We start from the raw sequence: 23,357 nt of genomic DNA, 5'->3' as shown, positions 1-23,357 counted from the left end.
ATGGCAGGGCCATATCAATATTAATGTTCTGAATTTGATGGTTGTACTGTGGTTATATAGGAGGATACTGTGTTTGTACTAAATATATGACGGGGTGTTATGTAAGTAACTTGCCCCCAGTGATTCAGTTTTTCTTTACACTTGAGGTGGTTAAACTGTATAAAAATAGACATAGTAATTGCTCAGGCAGCTGTGGCCCTTATTCAGGGCCTATTAGTTAAGGGTAATATGTGAAGTAAATTGAAGACCTAATCTTCTCAGCCATCTTAGCCATCTAGATTCCCAGGCAATCAAGGATCAGGATGCCTTTTTTTTTGAAACTGAGGTCCTGCTCTGTCTCCCAGGGTAGGGCACAGTGGCATCATCACTACTCACTGCAGCCTCGAACTCCTAAACTGAAGCCATCCTCCCGCCTCAGCCTCCTGAGTAGCTGGGAATACAGGCACTTGCCACCATGCCCAGCTAATTCTTTAATTTTCTGTAGAGATGAGATCTCACTGTATTGCCCAGCCTGGTCTCAAACTCCTAGGCTGAAGCGATCATCTGCCTTGGACTCTCAAAGTGCTGGGATTACAGGCATGAGCCACCGCACCCAGCTTGGGATGCCTTTTTTGTTTGTTTTGTTGTTGTTGTTGTTTTGCCTGCCATTGATTTCTGATGCCACTCATTACAGGAAAATGCTAATCCTGCACTCACATTTCGTGCTTTATGGTCTGTAAAAGACTTTGATAGGTTTTCTTTTCTTTTTCTTTTTTTGAGATGGAGTTTCGCTCTTGTTGCCCAGGCTGGAGTGCAATGGTGCGATCTCAGCTTGCTGCAACCTCCACCTGCTGGGATCAAGCGATTCTCTTGCCTCGGCCTCCCGAGTAGCTGGGATTACAGGTGCCTGCCACCACGCCCAGCTAATTTTTTTGTAATTTTAGTAGAGATGGGGTTTCACCATGTTGGCCAGGCTGGTCTCGAACTCCTGACCTCAAGTGATCCTCCCGCCTTGGCCTCCCAAAGTGCTGGGATTACAGGCATGAGCCACCACTCCTGGCCGGTTTTCTTATTTACATCTCACAGTACCCTGGAGCAGGCAGGGATTATTCTACCATATTGGAGAGGAGGATAATGATGACAAAATAATAATAATGGGTGACATAGAGTACTTTTTATGGGCTTGCAATAGTTTAAGCACTTTGAATATTGGATACTTTAACTCATTTAATTATCCCAATTACCCTATGAAGTAGGTAGACTGTGCTTATTTTATTTCACCAACAAGGAATCCAGGGCACAGACAAGTTAAGTGATTTGCCTAAGGCCCCACAGATTGAAAGTGGTGGAGCCAGGGTTTGCATCAGGCAGTCTTGAGTCCAGAGCCCCTGCTTATTTATGTACTGGGACTTAGTGCCTTAGCTAGGCTGGGCGACTGGTTCAGCACCCTTTGTTCACCTCTTCATTGATTGAGCAAATGAGTACTGAGTGCCTGTCAGGGGCAGGTCCTGCTGCGGATGCAGACAGAGCCCTTGGCTCCATGGAGCTCAGGCTTTGTGAGGTGAGTTGAAGAACTGGATGTAAAACTGTCTCTGCTACCCCAGCATGGAGTCCAGACAGCGACCACATGCCTCACACGCATGAGGAGCTGGCCAGCCCCATGCTCACAGGTGCACTTTCTTCTCTTTTCTTTTGAAGGTCGCCTGGTCGGCGCTCTGGATGCAGTGTTGGATTCCAATGCACGGGTCGCTCCATTTCGAATTCTGCTTCAAGTTCCCGGCTCCCAGGTTTATTCTCCCATAGCATGTGGTGAGTTACTGAATGGATCAGACGTTTACTGGGCCATAGCCACTGGTGAGTTTTGTTCCAGTTGGAATGTTCCAAACCTTAAGGTGTAAGCATGCTGAGTATCTGCATGTTGGTGAAGCTTGAAGGTAACCCCTTTGGATAACTCCCTCATCTGCTTTCAGGAACTTAACTCCCCTCCCCTCCACTCCCCTTCCTTCCCCTTCCCTCTCCTTCCCTCCTCTCCCCTGCCCTCCTCTTCCTTCCTCTCCCCTTCTTCTCCTCTCCTCTCCTTTCTGCCCCTCCCTCTCAACCCTTGCTTTCCCCTCCCATCTTTTTTTTTTTTTTTTTTAAAAACCATCGAAAGCACATAAAGGCTGTAATCTTGGGCAGCATAGCTTGGGCATGCCAGGCTTTCATTGGTGTGTTTCATGGTGCTCGTATATTGTCGATAACGAATCGAGCCATTTTCTTCTTAATCTTGTTTCTGACTTACCAATGTGCTCCTGGATGCATACACATAATGGTGTGGGCAGTTTCTGAGGGCTGTGTCTGACTCAGGGCAGTCTTCTCCTATTGTGATCATGTGGGCAGATTCTGAGAGCTGTGTCTGACCTAGGGCAGTCTTGACCCCATGTTCCACCTTTGCACTGAGAGAATGAGTCACTGGACAGCTGGGGGCTAAGAGAAGGTGGAAACCACCTGCTCATCTTCTCCTTCTGGGGTTTCTGTTCCTATCACAGGCATTACCTGGTGCTCTGTCTAACCACTCAGGTTCCTCTTGGGCCAGGAGTCACCACTTCTTGAGAAGACCCTTTTATTAAAAAACAAAACCAAAACATCTTTTTTTTTTTTAAACACGAGTAATAAATGCTCGTCTTCCAGAAATGAAAAAGTGGATAAGAAAGAAGGAAAAAATAATCACCTGCAACCCTTTATCCACAGCTAATCTTCTTTCTGCATATATACGTGGTGGTTTTTTAGTTTTCTATCTTCTCATAGCACCTTATTAGTTAACTTAAACTTTCAAAATCACCTCTACATGTTCTCTAGCAAGATTTAAATAAAAAAAAATTAAATTTTATTTTATTGAGATGGAGTCTCACTATGTTGGCCAGGGTGGTGGTCTTGAACTCCTGGCCTTCAGTGATCAGCCTGCCTTGGCCTTCCAGAGTTGCTGGGATTACAGGCATGAGCCACCACGCCTGGCCAACATTGGAATTCTTTTTCCTCGAAAATACAAGAAGTGTGAAGAGAATTCACATTCATATCCCATGGATCCAATACTAATCACTGTTAACATCTTGGCATTTTTTTTTCAGTTTGTTTTGTTTTTTAATTAAGACAGATCATTCTGTATTTGCATAAAATGACAAAGATGATGCATGCTCGGTAGAAAGAAATCAGGCTGGGAATGGTGGCTCATGCCTGTAATCACAGCACTTTGGGAGGCTGAGGAGGGAGGATCACTGGAAGCCAGGAGTTCAAGGCCAGCCTGGGTGACAAAGTGAGACACGCATCTCTGCAAAAAATTTAAAAATTAGCTGGGCGTGGTGGTGTGTACCTGTAGTCTCAATTACTAGGAAGGCTGAGGATCACTTGAACCCGAGTTCGAGGCTGCAGTGAGGTATGATGGTGCCACTGCCCTCCAGCCTGAGTGATAGAGGGAGAGCCCATTTCTTAAAAAAGAGAGGCTGGGTGTGGTGGCTCACGCCTGTAATCCCAACACTTTGAGAGGCCCAGGCGGGTGGATCACGAGGTCAGGAGTTCAAGACCAGCCTGGCCAAGATGGTGAAACCCCGTCTCTACTAAAAATACAAAAATTAGCTGGGCATGTTGGTGGGTGCCTATAATCCCAGCTACTCGGGAGGCTGAGGCAGGAGAATTGCGGTGAGGAGGAGGTTGTAGTGAGCCGAGATTATGCCACTGCACTCCAGCCTGGGCGACAGAGTGAGATTCCGTCTCAAAGGAAAAAAAAAAGAAAAGAGAGAGAGAGTGTGTGTCAAATGAATCAGCTAACTGAAAAATACAAAGAAGGTATCTATCTCCCCAAATCCCAGCCACCCAAAGTAACCTCTAGTTTCATGAGGTGAGCATCAGCCCAGATAACTTTCTAAGACATTTAGACACACAGGGATAGTTGAGAAGATGGACAGAAGGACTTTCATAAAAATGCAACTTGTGTGTCAGTGGTTTTATAACAAAAGTATTACACTTGCTTGATTTCAATAAAAGGAAATAAACTGAAATGAAACCAAAGAAATGTTAAACTTCAAATAAATGTTTCTTTAGTACAAGAGAGATTATTTTCTAAAAGGTTCAAGTAAGGTTAAGGGAAGAGATTTTTGAAAGCATTAAAAGGTTAGAATTGTGGCTTTTGAAAAACAATGTTTGAAGTCTGATAGTGTTCACTGGCTCTCCACCCTCTGAGTCAAGGGTGCCAGCATTCTTATTCTCCTCCCTGCTTTCCCAATCTCTCATTTAAAAAAGTTTTATTATTAGTTTTACATTGTACTTTCCATTCTGTCATGTAACCTTACTTTATTGTTTAGCTCAGTTCTCACTTATACATTGATTTAATGCTTTTACTCAGGTATAGATTTCCCAATCTGGAATTTTTTTTTTTTTTTTTTTGAGACAGAGTCTTGCTTTTGTTGCCCAGGCTGGAGTGCAATGCTGTAATCTCAGCTCACTGCAACCTCCACCTCTTGGGTTCAAGTGATTCTCCTGCCTCAGCCTCCCAAGTAGCTGGGATTGCAAGCATGCGCCACCACGCTCGGCTAATATTTTGTATTTTTAGTAGAGACAGGGTTTTTTTTTTACCTATTGGTCAGGCTGGTCTGAAACTCCTGACCTCAGGTGATCTGCCTGCCTTGGCCTCCCAGAGTGCTGGGATTACAGGTGTGAGCCACTGCATCCGGCCCCAATCCAGAGTATTTTATCTCTTATTTGGCTGGACTCCTGTTTTTTTCCCTCCATAATGTCAGTGTCCTATTTTCTGAATGTTTTTTCCCATTTGCCAGTGTTTGCCCTTGTTTCTGGACTTGAGTGACACTTTGGCTGGGTGATAGTTTGAGGCTATGCTCTAGAGCAAGCTTGTCCAACCTGTGGCCTGCTGGTTGCGTGCGGCCCAGGAGGGCTTTGAATGCAGCCCAATACAAATTAGTAAACTTTCTTAAAACATGATGAAATTCAGCCGGGCGCGGTGGCTCACTCCTGTAATCCCAGCACTTTGGGAGGCTGAGGCGGGCGGATCACCTGAGGTCAGGAGTTCAAGACCAACTTGGCCAACATGGGGAAACCCCATCTCTACTAAAAGTACAGAAATTAGCCAGGGGTGGTTGTGGGTGCCTGTAATCTCAGCTACTCAGGAAGCTGAGGCAGGAGAATCGCTTGAGCCCAGGAGGGAGGTTGTAGTGAGCCGAGATCATGCCATTACACTCCAGCCTGGACAACAGAGTCAGACTCCATGTCAAGAAAAAAGAAAAAAAGAAATTTTTTTGCGATTTTTTTAAGCTTATCAGCTATTGTTAATGTTAGTGTATTTTATGTGTGGCCCAAAATAACTCTTCTTCTTCCAATGTGGCCTAGGGAAGCCAAAAGATTGGACATCCTTGTCTAGAGGTTGGTGGCTGTTGTTCTAGGGCCTTCCTGTATTTGATAGGCCAATAGGAGAAATCTCAGGCAGCACCGATTGTTTTTTTTTTTTGCTTTGCATATGATGAGTTTTTTTTGTGCACACAACTCTGTCTTTATCATTGAAGTTTAGTAACTTGATTAGCATCTGTAACTACTGTGAGCATAGTGTGTTACATGTTTTGGAACATAGTATACTGTTGCAGTCTGCAGATTGGTTTCTTTAATCACTTTAGGAAATTTTCTTGCATCATTCTGTGTATGTATTATATTTTTTGATGCATTTTACATTTCATTTAACTTTTCCACTTCAAGGATACTTTATGTTGGATAGCTGTTATCTGCTTTTCATTTCTGTTTTTTGTTATCTTTTTCATCTGTGTTCTCCATTCAGCTCATAACTCTTTTGAGTTAATAATTTGGTTTGCAGCAGTATATTCTATACCTTGCTGCTTTTAACTTATCTACTAATTTTGTTGTCAAGTTTTTTTTTTTTTTTTGAGACAGAGTCTCGCTCTGTTGCACAGGCTAGAGTGCAGTGGTACAATCCCAGCTCACTGAAACCTCTGCCTCCCAGGTTCATGCCATTCTCCTGCCTCAGCCTCCCAAGTAGCTGGGACTACAGGCACCCGCCACCACGCCCAGCTAATTTTTTTGTATTTTTAGTAGAGACGAGGTTTCACCCTGTTAGCCAGGATGGTCTCAATCTCCTGACCTCGTGATCCACCCGCCTCAGCCTCCCAAAGTGCTGAGGTTACAGGCGTGAGCCGCCGCGCCCGGCCTGTTGTCAAGTTGTTTTGATCCTCAATTCATTTTGTTAGATTTCCAACATCCTTTTAATCTGTTACCCATTAGCTCATCTGTGAGTGCTTGTTTTATTGAACCCGTGTTCTTCAGTTGTTAGGGAGCATGAAGCATTCGTGAGAATTTTCTTTTCTTCCTTGAGTGTTCCATTCTCTTCTAGCACAGAATCTCTTCTTTGGAACCTTGCGTTCTCATCCATTCATTTTCTTTAGCAGTCGAGTGTTTGCTTGTTTGCAGTGCTGTTTCTCCTTGTCTTGCTCATGCTTGGGCATCGTTATCCCGGACGTTATATTGGCGCTAACGTAGTGTGACTTTAACTCGTGTTATGGGAACAGGGCAAGGAGGACTGGCATCTCGCTAGACGAGATGTGGTGGGTGAGAGAGTAGGATCCTCTTTTTCACATTTCTTGCAGATTTGGAGCTTTTGATATGAGTATTTTTTTTCTCCCCCCTAGGTTGGCTTCTGGGGAGTTGTCAGGGTGGGGAGTTGCCCACATTTCTGTTCTGTTCCTGAATCCATGCCCTTTGTAACCACAGCCATACCATGTTCTTAATGGCCACACAGCATTCAACTCTGTGGCTGTAGCTCAATTTACTCATCCAATCCTTTATTGGATACTTAATTGGCCTGGATTTTTTAATAGTTTAAAAGCATTTAAACTGTTATAGTTTAATAGTGAATACCCTGGCTGGGCGCGGTGGCTCACACCTGTAATCCCAGCACTTTGGGAGGCTGAGGTGGGCAGATCACGAGGTCAGGAGATCGCGACCATCCTGGCTAACACGGTGAAACCCCGACTCTACTAAAAAAAAACAAAAAAATTAGCTGGGCCTGGTGGCAGGTGCCTGTAGTCCCAGCTGCTCAGGTGGCTGAGGCAGGAGAATGGCGTGAACCCAGGAGGCGGAGCTTGCAGTGAGCGGAGATCGAGCCACTGGACTCCAGCCTGGGTGACTGAGCGAGACTCTGTCTCAAAAAAAAAAAAAAAAATAGTGAATACCCATTCATGTCAACTTTTCAGGACACTTCACAATCCCTTAAGTCCATTTATTTGAAATGTTTGTTGCCTGCCACGTACCAGACACATGCTTGATGTCGGAGATTCTGCGCTGTGTGTGTGAGGGGCAGTCTCCCTGCACCTAGCTTTTCAGGACCTGGGGGAAGGCAGATAGCAACATGAATAACAGGTGCAGGTGGGCAGAGGGCTAGGGAGGCCCGAGAGAAAAGCACCCTTGCAGAGCACATCCTGAGGAACGGCTGCATGGAAGGGATGTGTGTTTCTTTTTTTTGAGACAGAGTCTCACTTTGTTGCCCAGGCTAGGGTGCGGTCATGCGATCTCGGCTTACTGCAACCTCCACCTCCCGGGTTCAAGCAGTTCTCCTGCCTCAGCCTCCTGAATAGCTGGGATTACACGTGCACGCACCACTGTGCCTGGCAAATTTTTTGATTTTTAGTGGAGACGGGTTTTCGCCATGTTGGCCAGGCTGGCCTTGAACTTCTGACCTCAGGTGATCCTCCCACCTTTGCCTCCCAAAGTGCTGGGATTACAGGCATGAGCCACTGCACCCGGTGGGATGTGTGTTCCTAATGCATTTTGTGTTTATTGCCAAATTGCCTGCCATGACGTTTGTGCCAGCTTCCCTGGGTCCTCCCCTTCCAGCAGTGCAGGAGTCCTGAGCAGGTTAACTCCTAGACCCTCTTTCTGTTGAGCCGAGATCAGCTTCCTTTAGTTCCCACTGGGCGCAATTTCTGCCTCAGGCCTGACCCGGGCCAGGTCTGTAGATGCATCACTTTCTGCTGCCTTCTTGCCCACAGAACATCCCTTGAGTAAGAATTTGTTCTTTCAGTGCACTTTTCTTGGGTTAAGGAAGAGAGAATTGTTGAGTGTATTTCTGTCATGGACCCAGGGTATCAATTTAGATCCTTAGGCCTCTTCTGGGAGTGCCTTGGGCATCTTGCACTGTGTTATTGACTCACCGTAGTTAATATTTTATTGTGTCTTGAGCATTGAGCAAAGGCCCCTGCCCAGGGTTTCAAGTCTCAGATAAAGCCCAAACAAGAAGTGTAGGAAGGGCCTGGGCAGCCCCAGGACAAGGTGGGAACAGGAAGAATGGCCTGCACGAATGATTTATATCTTCACTTGAGTTTGGCTGCTTGCACAGCAGGATGGGGAGACATAGGAGGGCCTTTGAGGTTAAGTTTTTTTCCTTTTTTTCTAAGTAGAGATAGGTAGATAACTTCATGGGTGAACTACATTATTATTTGGCAGAAGATACCTATGGCTGACTGTGTTTGGAAGGAGAAATGAATTCCTATTATTTTTAACTTAACATGGACCAGAGAATCCCAAGGCTTTATAAAGATTACCAGCTTCAGTGGGTGGAGACATCCTAGGAGAGAGTGGTTGTGAGTTGTTTGGGAGGTTGTGGGTGGTGTGATTTGGATGAGAGCTGAGATGTCACCTCCCTGACTCCCTGTCACCTGCGTCCTCCATCCTGGCACTCACTTGTCACCAACTCTCCTTTGACTTGATTTTTGTCTGCCTTTTACTTCATGGAAGTAAAATTTCTCTGAGAGTCATACTTGTGACCTTCTGATGCCTAGGACAGAGCTTGACGTGTCATCAATGCTCAGTAAACCATGAGTGGGTGAATAAGTGGGGAAGTATGGGAGAGAAGGAGGGGAGTCTCAGCAGTTAAGACTTCCTCATATAAAGAGAGTGAAGGTAAGGCATGCAGTTACAGATGAAACTCCTTGGGCGCTTTCTGCCGAGCCAGGCCAGGGATATTCCAGGCAAGGCATGGACCTGCTCACCACCAACGTGCAACGGAAGAACTTGAAAAACAGGGATGTTTCTTAATTTCTTTAAAAAACAAATGTTTGTATTGTTGTAAAATATATATAACATAAAATTGACTGTCTTAACCATTTTTAAGTGTACAGGTTGGTGGCATGAAGTACATTCGCAGAATGGTACAACCATCACCACCATCCATCTCCAGAACTTTTTTCATCTTCCCAAACTGAAACTCTACCTGTTAAAGACTCACTCCTCACTCTCCTCTCCCCAAGTCCCAGGCAACCCAGATGGGATCCAGGTTCTGTCTCTAGGAATTTGCCTACTCGGGCACCTCGTGTTAGTGGGCTCGAGCAGTGTTGGTCTTTTGGTGACCACTTATTACAGTCAGCATCCTATCTTCAAGTGTCCCGCATGTTGCAGTGGGTGTCAGAAAGTCCGTCGTTTTTACAGCTGAATGATATTCCATTGTAAGTCGGCTTTCTGTTTGAAATCATATCTCTGAATGATTGGGCATAAGTCGAAACAAGGACGTGGTGTGTGGAACCAGGAGAGCAAAATCCTAGGAGCTAATTCCTAGTCAGGTCATGGGGAGCAGGAATGCTGGGAGGGCCAGGGTGCCCAGCCTGCAGGAGGGCCGGTTTTTGGCTGCATTGATGCCTATCTCGTGCAGAGCCCTCTGGGTCTCTGGATGAACAAGGAGACTTCATTGCCATTTCTACGTATCTGATGGTCTTAGTCATGACTCTGTCCTGTGCTTGGAAAGTCCAGGCTGTTGTAGGCTGAGAGTTACCTATCATGTTCCTATGTGAGATGTCGATGTCTCATGTTCTTTTTGGTAGGTAATTCCCAAGGTTACCAACTGCATTATTCACACATATATTTTATTCTTTTTCGTTTTTTGAGACGGAGTCTCACTCTGTTGCCCAGGCTAGAGTGCAATGGTGTGATACTGGTTCACGGCAACCTCCGCCTCCCAGGCTCGAGTGATTCTCTTGCCTCAGCCTCCTGAGTAGCTGGGATTACCGGTGCCTGCCACCACGCCTGGCTAATTTTTGTATTTTTAGTAGAGACAGAGTTTCATCATGTTGGTCAGGCTGGTCTTGAACTTCTGACCTCAAATGATCCACCTGCCCCAGCCTCCCAAAGTGCTGGGATTGCAGGCATGAGCCACCACACCTGGGTACACATTTTATTTTTTATCATGGCCCTGTGCATTGAGTGCATTGTTCTTGCCCAGTTTTCAGGAAGCAGAAAGAAAATACAGGCAAGAACTGCAGGACTTTGAATTATCTGCCTAGATCATTCTAAGAATTGAATTGATTATGCAATAATTGGACTCCTTTTCCTGTAGATTAACTGAGGCATGAGGTGGACTGTCTCCTCTGGTTACTGGAAGAGGACTTCCTGATTGCCTTACTTTGAGGCAGCCAGGGTGGGGGTCCTCCCGAGAGCATGGGGAGGGTCCCAGGGGGCCCACTTCAGGGTTGCCTTTCATGAAAAACTTGTCAAACCTTTGTACAGATGTCTTTTTAATAACACTCACTGCTTTGCAGATCCAAGTTTGGACTCTGGGCTGCTCCAGTAGTTTGTTGGCTCTGTTTATGGTAGCTTAAGTGCAAGGTTTTTATGTAGCCAGTAAGGTCTGTCCCATGGTCTTGAGTGAAATGGGGAGCAGGAAAACAGAAAGAAAGGAAAGTGCCACGTTGTAGCAGGGGAGGGTCAGGAGACCACCTTACCTGGGCATTGTGGGGTGCAGGGGTGCCAGCAGAGCAGGAGCTTACCTGGTGGGCAGGGGCACTGCCACATCTTGGGAGGGAGTATGTGTGTAGTTTGAAAAAGCTTACTTAATAGTTTAGATTTGGAAAATGGAAAAAACATCCTTTTGAAATGTTAAAGATCGTTAAAGAAGTTTGTGATATTTTCATAAATCAAAATGTGGCATATGTTTTAAAAAATTGAGAATAGCTGGACACAGTGGCTTGCTCCCATAATCCCAGTACTTTGGGAGGCTGAGGTGGGAGGGTTGCTTCAGGCTGGGAATTCAAGACCAGCCTGGGCAACACAGTGAGACCCCATCTCTACAACAAAATTTTAAAAATTAGCTGGGCCTGGTAGTGCTCCTGTGGTGCCAGCTGCTCAGGAGGCTGAGGTGGGACGGGGCCTGGAAAGTTGAGACTGCAGTGAACTGGGATCGTGCTACTGTACTCCAGCCTGGGCAACAGAGCAAGACCCTGTCTCCAAAAAAAAAAAAATTGAGAGTACAAGAGTTGGGCTTTCCAGTTTAAACAATCCTTCCCTTTCCCATACTTTCTTTATTTGTTCCTCTCAATATTATATTGGGAAGTGTGATGCTTTGGCTCTGGAGAGGCAAGGAGCAAGCCACAGGGAGCTCAGGGACTTGCCAGGGCTGCTTCAGGCATCGGTAACACTGCGGGTGTGTCAGGTGCTATCCCTGACAGAATGTTCTTTCAGAGCGTTCTTTCTGACGCACATTCTCTTGTCCCTGCCCTTGACCATGGGTGGCATCTTGGTTTTCTTGCAGTCTGCATCACTGTTTGCTTTGTCTTTGGAGAGAGAATTTTATTGAGGGAGGAAATGTTCCAGGGTGGATCAGATTAGCATCTCTGTGAACTTTGTACCAGGGTAGCGAAGGAAGTGCCAACCCCATCTTTTTTTCAAGAACAGAACACCCTGGGTGCTTCAAGGAAAGTCTGGGAAGCAACCCAGTGGGAGGGAAGACAGTGCTTTTCTCTGGGTCCCCACGCTGAGGTCAGGCGATGCGAGTTGTTACACTTGTTTTCGGTCACGCTCGGGGTGCTGCGGTTCACGTTTCTTTTCTATTATGGAGTTACTGTCACCAGGCTCTTACTGTTTTAAATAAAGTCATTTTGCTTACGCTCAAATAATTACACTCATCCAAGGCATTCTTCCCTTAGGGTTGTTGTTTATAGTTATTTGAAAAGCAGGGACATACTGAGTCTAACTTGTAGATCTAGTAAATGCTGATATCAAAAGTGATGTTAACAACTATTCCTAAGACTGGACCTGGTTGGGGCTGGGCGCGGTGGCTCACACCTGTAATCCCAGCACTTTGGGAGGCCTAAGCAGGCGGATCATGAGGTCAGGAGATCGAGACCGTCCTAGCTAACACAGTGAAACCCCGTCTCTACTAAAAATACAAAAAAATTAGCCAGGCGTGGTGGCGGGCGCCTGTAGTCCCAGCTACTCTGGAGGCTGAGGCAGGAGAATGGCGTGAACCCGGGAGGCGGAGCTTGTAGTGAGCCGAGATCGCACCACTGCACTCCAGCCTGGGCGACAGAGCAAGACTCCGTCTCAAAAAAAAAAAAAAAAAAAAAAACCAGACTGGACCCAGTGACTCAAACGCCTTTAATTCCAGCACTTTGAGAGGCTGAGGTGGAAGGGTCACTTGAGGCCAAGAGTTTCAGACCAACTTGGGTGGCATAGCAAGACCCTGTTTCTACAGAAAAAAAAAAAAATTAGCCGGGCGTGGTGGAGCGCACCTGTAGTCCTAACTACTCAAGAGGCTAAGGCGGGAGGATTGCTCGAGCCTGGGAGTTCAAGGCTGCGGTGAGCTATGATGGCACTCCGCCTGAGTGACAGATGAAACCGTGTCTTTAAATAAATACATGAATAAAACCCTCCAAAACAAAAAACCAATTTTTAAGCCTGGAATCAGACTTTTCTCTAGTGTCTTATAGGTTACAGAACCAGTTGGTAACTTCTGCGTAGAGCAGGACTTGATTAACAAGGAAACCGTCTGGAGAGGACCTTAGCAGGCGTCTAGTTTAATCCCTTTCATTTTTAGTAGATGAAGAGACATTGACTGGGGCTGTGGGTTTCAAAAGGAGATGACTGGCAAATGACTTTTTATTAAATGATTCCTTAATGATAAAAAAATAACATTGGGAATGAGCACGGAGGCACCATGACTTTGTGCTGCCTGGAGCTCTCCTTCTTGGCCAGTTTTGCTGGTCTGACCCCAGTGGGTGTGTTGCCTGCCTACTCTGGTCTCTCCCATTCCATGAGGTCCCCGGGGGCCCACTTCAGGGTTGCCTTTCACTGACTTCTGTGACATATGCTAGAGCCTTGTATATCTGAATTGCCTGGGGCTGGTAGTGATCCTGATCAAAAAAATAATAAGGAAATTCAGGGAGTAACCACTTCTGCCCGTTTTCTTGCCCCACATTTTCACTTCTGATTATATTTTCCTCATAGGTAGGAGTTAGTTATCCATATTTGTTCCTTTTTTTTTTTTTTTTTTTTTGCTAAGAAAGGTTTTTCTTTTCTTTCCTTTTTTTTTTTTGTTATGAAGATTTTCAAAGATGTCCCAAAATAGGGAGGAGAGTGTAAGGAAACCTGCAGAAACCTCATTGTGTACATGCGTGAGGACTGAAGTTTTGCCCTTCTTGAGTTATTTCTTCCTCTCTAAGCCCTTCCCCTACCCCAAAGCATTTTAAAGCAAATTCTAGAAATTATAATATTTCTCTCCTACGTATTTTAGGAAACATCTCTGAAAAATATGGCCAGTCTTATCACTGTAATGCCCTCACTAAACCGATAAAGTTAACTTTGATTCCTTGTTGTCCCTGGACTCAGTCCATTCTTAGGCTTCCTGCTTGCTTCAGGAATCTTCATAGATCTGGGTTTTAATCCATAGCTAACTAGAACTGCACACCCATTTGGTTGTGTTTCTAAAGTCTCTTTGAGTCAAGAAAACTGTGACTGTCCAATGTGTTCATTTTGCCCACTGCCCATTTAGAACCGATTTCTCAAGATGGGAATTGCAATAAAGAGTTTAATATGTACAGAGCTGTCTGAACGGAAGACTGGAGTTGTGTTACTCAAATCAGTCTCCCTGAAAATTCGGAGGCTAGGGTTTTTCAAGGATAGTGTGGTGGGCCAGGGAATGGAAGCTGCTCGTTGGTTGGGGATACAATCTTAGCAGTGTGGGAAATGGTCTTTGTGTGTGCTGAGCCCACTTCTGCGGGGGATGACTGGGCCAGTTGGTGGGTCCGGGTGGAGCCATCTGTGATCAGAAATGCAAAAATCTGAACAGACATCTCAAAAGGCCAATTTTAGGTTCTGTAAGAGTGTTGTTATCTGCAGGAGTAATTGGAGAAGTTGCCAATCTTGTGACTTCCAGGAATAAAGGCTGGTAATTGTTTAAGTCTACACCTTAGCAGAATTCAGGCTCCCCTCATCCTCCTAACCTGGTGGTCTTTCATTTTCCAAGGGTGCTTTAGTTTTAGGGAAGGGCTATTATCATTTGATATGGTTTGGATCTGTGTTCCTAACCAAATCTCATATTGAAATGTAATGTCCAGTGTTGGAGATGGGGCCTGGTGGGAGGTGATTGGATCATGGGGGTAGATTTCTCTTGAATGGCTTGGCACCATCCCCTTGATACTGTCCTCAGGATAGATAGTGAGTGAATTCTTACGAGATCTCGTTGTTTAAAAGGATGTAGCACCGGCCGGGCACGGTGGCTCACACCTGTAATCCCAGCACTTTGGGAGGCCGAGGCGGGTGGATCACGAGGTGAGGAGATCAAGACCATCCTGGCTAACACAGTGAAACCCCGTCTCTACTAAAAATACAAAAAATTAGCTGGGCGTGGTGGTGGGCACCTGTAGTCCCAGCTACCCGGGAGGCTGAGGCAGGAGAATGGCGTGAACCCGGGAGGCGGAGGTTGCAGTGAGCCGAGATCATGCCACTGCACTCCAGCCTGGCACTTTGGGAGGCCGAGGTGGGTCGATCACGAGGTCAGGAGATCAAGACCATCCTGGCTAACACAGTGAAACCCCGTCTCTACTAGAAATGCAAAAAATTAGCTGGGCGTGGTGGTGGGCACCTGTAGTCCCATCTACCCGGGAGGCTGAGGCAGGAGAATGGCGTGAACCCGGGAGGCGGAGGTTGCAGTGAGCCAAGATCATGCCACTGCACTCCAGTCTGGGCGACAGAGCGAGACTCCGTCTCAAAAAATTAAAAATAAAAATAAAAAGTATGTAGCACTACCGCCTCTCTCTTGCTCCTGCTCCCACCATGTGAAATGTCCCCCTTTGCCTTCCAGCATGATTGGAAGCTTCCTGAGGCTCCCCAGAAGCAGAAGTTGCCATGCTTCTGCAGAACCGTGAGTCTCGGGTATTTCTTTATAGCAATGTGGGAACAGACTAATACATCATTTATACTATCACCTAAATGTCTTCCAAAGTTAGGTTGGCCCAAGCCCAGGAATGACTAAGGGCAGTTTGAAGGTTAAAGGCAAGATAAGGATTGGTTAGAGCAGATCTCTTTCATAATTTCTCAGTTATAATTTTTGCAAAGGCAGTTTCACAGTTTCAGCCCTCTTCCTCCCCATCCCTCTTTTCATGCCACTGACCTGTTGAAGAAGTTGGGCCAATTTTTATGTGGAATATCCTGCTGGCTGCACAGTCTGTTTTCTCCCTCAGGGCATCATTTAACTTTGTGCACTTTTCTTCATGTTTCCTGGAAACTGGAAGTTACTAATAAAGGTTTAATTGAATGTAGGTGCAGCTGTTTTTAGGAAGAATACTCTATAGGCTGCGCCATGTATTTTATTTTGCGTTCTCTCAGGAGGCACGTATCATCTGGATGTCTCACTCCTATTGATGCTAAGATTAGTTCATGAGTTCAGGTGACAGCTTCCATTGCATTCTCCCCCATCAAGCTTTCGTCAAAGGTTTTTTTCCGTTATGATCATTGCCTGAATTCACTTTTTCTCTATGGATCATGAAATGGTGGTTTTCTAATTTGATCATTCCTTTTACAACTGTCTGCTTGAGTTATCTGTAAAGAAGAACTTTGTCTCTTCAACTAGTGCTATTTGGTCACCCTGAGACATAATATATTTAGAAAACATGGGGTAAAATGCCTCCTTTTGCTCTGTAGTTGCCTACTGTTAATGTAAGGAGTTGGTGCCCTGGTCATCTGCAGTGATGACAAGTGAATTATTATTTTTCTGTTTTAGCTTCCTTTTCTTTTTCTCTCTCCCTTCTCCCCTTTTTAGTATCATTTTAAAGTTAAGAATCCCTGCTCTTAGCATTTCATTATGAAAATTTTCAAACATACAGAAACGTTGAAAGAATTATACAGTGAACACTACAAGCCAGGAGTTTAAAAATATATTCACTGTGTTTCAATTAATTGCAGGATTTTTTTGGTATGTAGATTGAACCATCTTCTGCCCATTAGAGCCCATTTGTAGTCCGTTTTATACTGCTATAAAGAACTGCCTGAGACTGGACAATTTATAAAGGAAAGAGGTTTAATTGACTCACAGCTCAGCATGGCTGGGGAGGCCTCAGGAAACTTACAATCATGGCAGAAGGTGCAAAGGAGAAGCAAGGCACTTTCTTCACAAGGCAGCAGGAAGGAGAAGTGCTGAGCAAAGAGGAAAGAGCCCCTTATAAGACCATTTTGTGAGAACTCACCATCATGAGAACAGCATGTGGGAAACTGCCCTCATGATTCAATTACCTCCACCTGGTCTCTCCCTTGACACGTGGGAATTGTGGGAATTACAATTCAAGATGAGATTTGAGTGGGGACACAAAGTCTAACTAGATCACCCTTCCTGTGACTTCTATGACATTTTTTTTTTTTTTTTGAGATGGAGTCTCACTCTGTCGCCTAGGCTGGAGTGCAGTGGCGCAATCTTGGCTCACTGAACCTCCCAGGTTCAAGCAATTCTTGTGTCTCAGCCTCCCCAGTAGCTAGGACTACAGGTGCGTGCCACCACGCCTGGCTAATTTTTTGTATTTTTAGTAGAGATGGGATTTCACCCTGTTGGCCAGGCTGGTCTCAAACTCCTGACCTCAGGTGATCTGCCCGCCTTGGCCTCCCAAAGTGCTGGGATTACAGGTGTAGCCACTGAGCCCAGCCGACTTCTATGACTAAACTGTAACATTTGTCTCAAGTGCTTCCTGGCTTTCTGGCCAACAAGCTGTGAAATGCTCATCTTGTACCTTTCCTACCTTTTATTTGGAATTGGTCATTCCTCAAATAGCCATGGCTCCTTTTTTAATGATTATTTAACTGATATATGATGCGTATTTAATGGTATTTAGGGACCACAGTTTAGGCTGTAGGGGTGCTCATTGTTACTGGGTTGTCATTGCCTCTAAGGCTTTTCAAGTAAGTGTGAACCTAAAAAGTGTGTGTGATGATAAAGAAAAATAAATAATGAGTTCATACTGACTTTTCCAATTCAACTGTAAAACTACATAGTTATAACTTAACTTTGATTTTATATTTCTTCTCTTATACTGAAAATCTTGATTTCTAACAATGTTCCCATAATTGTTTGTCTGTTTATCTAATATACGTACACGCACACCATTTCTAAATAATGTCAATATTGCTGTTAAGAATAGTTGAATGAGATTTTAAGGTTTTGAAGCTCTATATGGTGTTAGAATACATTTAACTACAGGTGTACCTCCTTCTATTGTGTTTCACGTTATTGTACTTTGAAGATACTGCATGTTTTTCAAATTGAAGGTTTATGGTAACCCAGAACTGAGCAAATCTGTTAGCACTATTTTTCCAACAGCGTTGGAATGTGTTCACTTTGTGTCTCTGTCATATTTTGGTAATATTTTCAGTAGTTCAGACTTTTTCATTATTATTATGTCTGTTAATGGTGATCTGTTATCAGTGATCTTAGTTGTTACTGTTGTAATTGTTTTGGGGTGCTATGAACCATGTAAGACGATGAACTTAATTGATAAATGTTGTATGTATTCTGACTGCTCCACCCACTGGGCCACCTTCTTGTTGGGCATCCCTATTTCCTGAGACACAAAAATACTGAAATTAGGCTAATTAATAACTCTACAATGGCCTCTAGTGCTGAAGTAAAAGAAAATGTCGTATGTCTTTCACTTTATATCAAAAGCTAAAAATGATTAAGCTTAATGAGAAAGGCATATCAAAAATTGAGATAGGCTGAAAGCTAGGCCTCTTGGGCCAAACAGTTAAAGTTGTGAATGCAAAGGTAAAGTTCTTGAAAGAAATTAAAATTGCTACTCCAGTGAACACATGAATGATAAGAAAGCAAAACAGACTTATTGCTTCTATGGAGAAAGTTTTTGTGGTCTGTATAGAAGACCAAACAAGCCACAACATCTCTTTTAGCCAAAGCCTAATCCATGCAAGACTCTCACTTTCTTAAATTCTGTGAAGGTTGAGAGATATGAGGAAGCTGCAGAAGAAAAGTTTGAAGCTAGCAGATGTTGGTTAATCAGGTTTAGGGAAAGCAGCCATCTCCATAACATAAAAGTACAAGGTGAAGCAGCAAGTACTGATGGAGAAGCTGCAGTGAGTTATAATATCCAGAAGGTCCAGCAGAGCTCGTTGATGAAGGTTGCCACACTACACAACTGACTTTAAAACAATGTAGATGGCCGGGTGTGGTGGCTCACGCCTGTAAATCCCAGCACTTTGGGAGGCCGAGGCGGGCGGATCACGAGGTCAGGAGATCGAGACCATCCTGGCTAACACGGTGAAACCCCATCTGTATTAAAAATACAAAAAAGTAGCTGGGCGTGGTGGCGGGCACCTGTATTCCCAGCTACTGGGGAGGCTGAGCCAGGAGAATGGCATGAACCCAGGAGGCGGAGGTTGCAGTGAGCCGAGATCGTGGCACTGCACTCCAGCCTGGGCAACAGAGCAAGACTCCATCTCCAAAAAAAAAAATAAATAAAATAAAATAAAATAAAATAAAAAATAAAAAAAATAAAACAATGTAGATGAAAGAGCCTTCTGTTGGAAGAAGATGCTATCTAGAAATTGTATAGCTGGAGAGGAAAAGTTAGTGAGTGCCTGGCTTCAAAGCTCCTCTTGATATAGGGGCTAACATGCCTGGTGACTTCAAGTTGAAGCCAGTACTCACTGACCATTCTGAAAATCCTAGGGCCCTTAAGAACTATGGTAAATGTATTCTGCCTGTGCTTTATAAATGGAACAACAAAGCCTGCATGACAGCACATCTGTTTATAGCATGATTTACTGAATATCTGAAGCCCACTGATATGATTTGGGTGTTTTGTCCCCTTCGAATCTCATATTGAAATGTGACCTCCAACGTTGGAGGTGGGCCTAGTGGGAAGTGTTTGGGTCGGGGGGCAGATCCCTCTTGAATGGCTGAGTGCATAGGTCCCCAACCCACGGGCCACAGATTAGTACCAATTTGGTACCAATTTGTGGCCTGTTAGGAACTGGACCACACAGGACGAGGTGAGCGGCAGGCAAGTGCACATTACTGCCTGAGCTTGGCCTCCTGTCAGATCAGTGGTGGCATTAGACTCTCATAGGAGTGTGACCCCCTATTGTGAACTGTGCATGCGAGGCATCTGGGTCAAGTACTCCTTATGGGAATCTAACCAATGCCTGATGATGATCCGAGGTGGAACAGTTTCATCCCAAAACCATCCCCCATGGTCCATGGAAAAATTGTCTCCCACAAAATTGGTCTCTGGTGCCAGAAAGTTTGGGGACTGCTGGCTTAGTGCCATCCCCTTGGTGATGAGTGAGTTCTTACTCAGTTCACACGAGATTTGGTTGGTTAAGAGAGCCTGGGGCCTCTCCCTTCTCTCTTTTGTGCTCTCTTTTTCTCTCTCTCTCCTTCTCTCTCTCTCCTGCCCCTCTCCTTTTGACACACCTGCTCCCCCTTTGCCTTCTGCCATGATTGTAAGCTTCCCGAGGCCTCACCAGGAGCAGATGCTGGTGCAGTGTTTTCCATATAGCCTGCAGAACTGTGAGCCAATTAAACCTCTTTCCTTTATAAATTACCCAGCCTCAGGTATTCCTTTATAGCAGTGCAAACAGATTAACATACCTGTTGTTGAGACCTAATGCTCAGAAAAAAAGATACCTTTCAAAGTATTACTGCTTATTGACAATGCACCTGGTTGCCCAAGAGCTTGATGAAGATGTACAAGGAGATTAATGTTGCTTTCATGCCTGCTAATACAACATCCATTCTGCAGCCCATGGGTCAAGGAGTAATTTTGACTTTCAAGTCTTATTATTTAAGAAATACATTTCATAAGGCTATAGTTGCATAGATGAATTGTGATTCCTCTGATTCATCTGGGCAAAGTAAATTGAAAACGTTCTGGAAAGCACCATTTTATTTTTTGATTTTTTAAATTTGTAGTACCTTTATTTTAGATCTTTAAAAACACTTTTAAATTTCACACAGCAAATTTTAAATCATATAAGGATGCATATTTGAACTTAGTGAATTTAATCTGTGTGCCTTGAAAACTTTTTTTTTCCCTGCAAACTTTTAAAATGAGAGTACAATAGTAAATTATTTAAAATTAAACTGGGGAAAAACACAGGCACACTTTTCTCCATTGTTTACTACTCTGATCTAGACCTGGGTTAAATTTCTAAAATGTATAATACCTTTCATCATTCTTAAGTTCTATTATCAAATAATGGTTAGTGTTATAGAAAGTTATTCTCCAAATACCCAAAGCTTTACATTTACTTAATATCTGAGAAAATATCACCTACCAGTCAATAACAATTAACTAAAGAATGATCACATTTCTAGCCTCCCCACAGGGCCCAATAACCAGGCCTTAAGGCCGATGCTTATTTATTTATTTATTTATTTATTTGTTTGTTTGTTTGTTTGTTTTTGAGACGGAGTCTCGCTGTGTCGCCCTGGCTGGAGTGCAGTGGTGCGATCTCGGCTCACTGCAAGCTCCGCCTCCCGGGTTCACACCATTCTCCTGCCTCAGCCTCCCGAGTAGCTGGGACTATAATAGGCGCCCACCACCACACCTGGCTAATTTTTAAAAATATTTTTAGTAGAGACGGAGTTTCACCGTATTAGCCAGGATGGTCTCCATCTCCTGACCTCGTGATCCGCCCGCCTCAGCCTCCCAAAGTGCTGGGATTACAGGCATGAGCCATCGTGCCTGGCCTGGCCGATGCTAATTTAAATTGCCTATTATTGACTGAGACAAACCCCCAAGAATTACATTCAGAATTTACAAAGATACTTTTAGCAATGTATCTATTAGAGGCTTAGGTACAATGTTTTAGAATTAAAAATCCAAGTTTAATATGTATATTGACCTCCTGGGGTCTTTCAAGTCCATATTATTTAGGCTTATGTAGATAATTACAGTAACCATTTTTAGGTTTGTAATTGTTTGATACGTGGATGATAAAGGCAGAAATGTAATTCTCAAGTCCTTGAAATTAATGTAATTAGAAGCTTAGCTGACTACAGAATAGGTGAGGGTTTCTTAAAAATCAGATTTGTTGGCTGGGCGCGATGGCTCACGCCTGTAATCCCAGCACTTTGGGAGGCTGATGCAGGCAGATCACCTGAGGTCAGGAGTTTGAGACTAGCCTGGCCAACATGGTGAAACCCCGTCTGTACTAAAAATACAAAAATTAGCAGGGCATGGTGGTGGGCACCTGTAATCCTAGCTCCTAGGGAGGCTGAGGCAGGAGAATTGCTTGAACCTGAGAGGCGGAGGTTGCAGTGAGCTGATATTGTGCCACTGCACTCCAGCCTGGGCAACAGAGTGAGACTCTATCTCAAAAAAAAAAAAAATCAGATTTGTTTTAAGACACAGTTTTGCCTTTACTGGTAGGATCGGTTGGTCACACAAGATATTTAATAGTATTTAACATAACATGGCACAGAAAATTGGTTAAAAAAGGTTTTTTCTAATTAGGTAATGTAAAAACCCAACATGAACTTTATGTAAGATTGGAATGTATCTTCAAATTCAGGTTTTTAATAAAAATGTAGGCCGGGAGCAGTGGCTCACACATGTAATCCCAGCACTTTGGGAGGTCGAGGCGGGTAGATCACCTGAGGTCAGGAGTTCAAGACCAGCCTGACCAATGTGATGAAACCACATCTCTACTGAAAATACTAAAAATTAGCTGGGCGTGGTCGTGGGTGCCTGTAATCCCAGCTACTCAGGAAACTGAGGCAGGAGAATCGCCTCAACCCAGGAGGCGGAGGTTGCAGTGAGCCGAGATCACGCTATTGCACTCCAGCCTGGGCAACAAGAGCAAAATTCCGTGTGAAAAAAAAAAAAAAAGTAAACATGCTCTGTATATAAATGTTGTATTTAGTTCCTTGTGTCCAAGAATGTTATCTGTAAAACTGAAAGCGATAAGAATAGTGAATAATTTAATTTGCAATTCTAAAAACATGACTTGAGAAAAAAAATCCCATAAAATTTGGTTCAAAGTTTAACTGCTATGTTTAATACAAACCAGAGTGTTTAAATTCACAATACAAGTTCTATCAATCTTGGGCATTTTTATATTATTTATATGAATATTATCAATTTTATTGATATTATTAACAAATACTTTCATTGCACCTTATTTTCTAGTTATTGGTTTGTTTTGTTTTGTTTTGTTTTTGAGATGGAGTTTCGCTCTTGTTGCCCAGGCCGGAGTGCAATGGCACGATCTCGGCTCACTGCAACCTCCGCCTCCCAGGTTCAAGCAGTTCTCCTGCCTCAGCCTCCTGAGTAGCTGGGATTACAGGCAAGCACCACCACGCCCGGCAAATTTTGTATTTTTAGTAGAGACGGGATTTCTCCATGTTGGTCAGGCTGGTCTCAAACTCCCAACCTTAGGTGATCCGCCCACCTCAGCCTCCCAAAGTGCTGGGATTACAGGCGTAAGCCACTGTGCCTGGCCTTTTTTTTTTTTGAGACGTAATCTCACTCTGTTGCCTAGGCTGGAGTGCAGTGGCGTGATCTTGGGTCACTGCAAGCTCCGCCTTCCGGATTCAAGGGATTCTTATGCCTCAGCCTCCCGAGTAGACTACAGGTGCCTGCCACCACGCCCAGCTAATTTTTGTATTTTTAGTAGAGATGGGGTTTCACCATATTGGCCAGGCTGGTTCCGAACTCCTGCTCTCATGATCCACCCGCCTCGGCCTCCAAAATGCTGGGATTACAGATGTGAGCCACCATGCCTGGCCTTTTTTTTTTTTTTTCTTGAAACGGAGTCTTGCTCTTGTCGCCCAGGCTGGAGTGCAGTGGCGCGATCTCTGCTGACTGCAGCCTCCGCCTCCCAGGTTCAAGCGATTCTTGAGCCTCAGCCTCCTGAGTATCTGGGATTACAGGCGCCCCACCACCACGCTCAGCTAATTTTTGTATTTTTAGTTGAGACAGGGTTTCACCATGTTGGCCAGGCTGGTCTCGAACTCCTGACCTCAGGTGATCTCCCTGCGTTGGCCTCCCAAAGTGCTGGGATTACAGGCATGAGCCACCACATACAGCCAAGTTATTGTTAAATAGTAGATAAGGCAGATT

General features: G+C 44.4%; 1 protein-coding gene across 3 annotated transcripts in view, besides 3 other annotated features; it reads left to right on the top strand.

Moving 5' to 3' along the window:
* Window positions 1-23,357, top strand: part of TBC1D8 (TBC1 domain family member 8) — a 144,155-nt gene that overhangs the window by 59,341 nt on the left and 61,457 nt on the right. For 2 of the 3 annotated variants that reach the window (NR_138475.2, NM_001102426.3), the window contains exon 2: window positions 1,678-1,788. Coding sequence is in view for 2 of the 3 variants with exons in the window: in NM_001102426.3 (NP_001095896.1) it covers window positions 1,678-1,788 (111 nt within the window). In the remaining variant the exon portion in view is untranslated. Of the gene's footprint in view, window positions 1-1,677; window positions 1,834-23,357 lie in introns of all 3 variants that reach the window. The other variant, NM_001330348.2, reaches the window with a different exon arrangement.
* Window positions 2,344-2,563: an enhancer, noted in NCBI's record as "active region_16299". NCBI's record gives its function as "activates an Ori minimal core promoter by ATAC-STARR-seq in GM12878 lymphoblastoid cells {active_cell/tissue: GM12878}" and the evidence as "EXISTENCE:reporter gene assay evidence [ECO:0000049][PMID:35858748]".
* Window positions 4,978-5,037: a silencer, noted in NCBI's record as "silent region_11819". NCBI's record gives its function as "represses an Ori minimal core promoter by ATAC-STARR-seq in GM12878 lymphoblastoid cells {active_cell/tissue: GM12878}" and the evidence as "EXISTENCE:reporter gene assay evidence [ECO:0000049][PMID:35858748]".
* Window positions 5,058-5,107: a silencer, noted in NCBI's record as "silent region_11818". NCBI's record gives its function as "represses an Ori minimal core promoter by ATAC-STARR-seq in GM12878 lymphoblastoid cells {active_cell/tissue: GM12878}" and the evidence as "EXISTENCE:reporter gene assay evidence [ECO:0000049][PMID:35858748]".

Source organism: Homo sapiens, chromosome 2, assembly GCF_000001405.40.
Source record: "Homo sapiens chromosome 2, GRCh38.p14 Primary Assembly".
Taxonomy (NCBI): Eukaryota; Metazoa; Chordata; class Mammalia; order Primates; family Hominidae; genus Homo; species Homo sapiens.
Note: the sequence above shows the minus strand (reverse complement) of the source record. Positions and strands in the feature narration are given on the sequence as shown.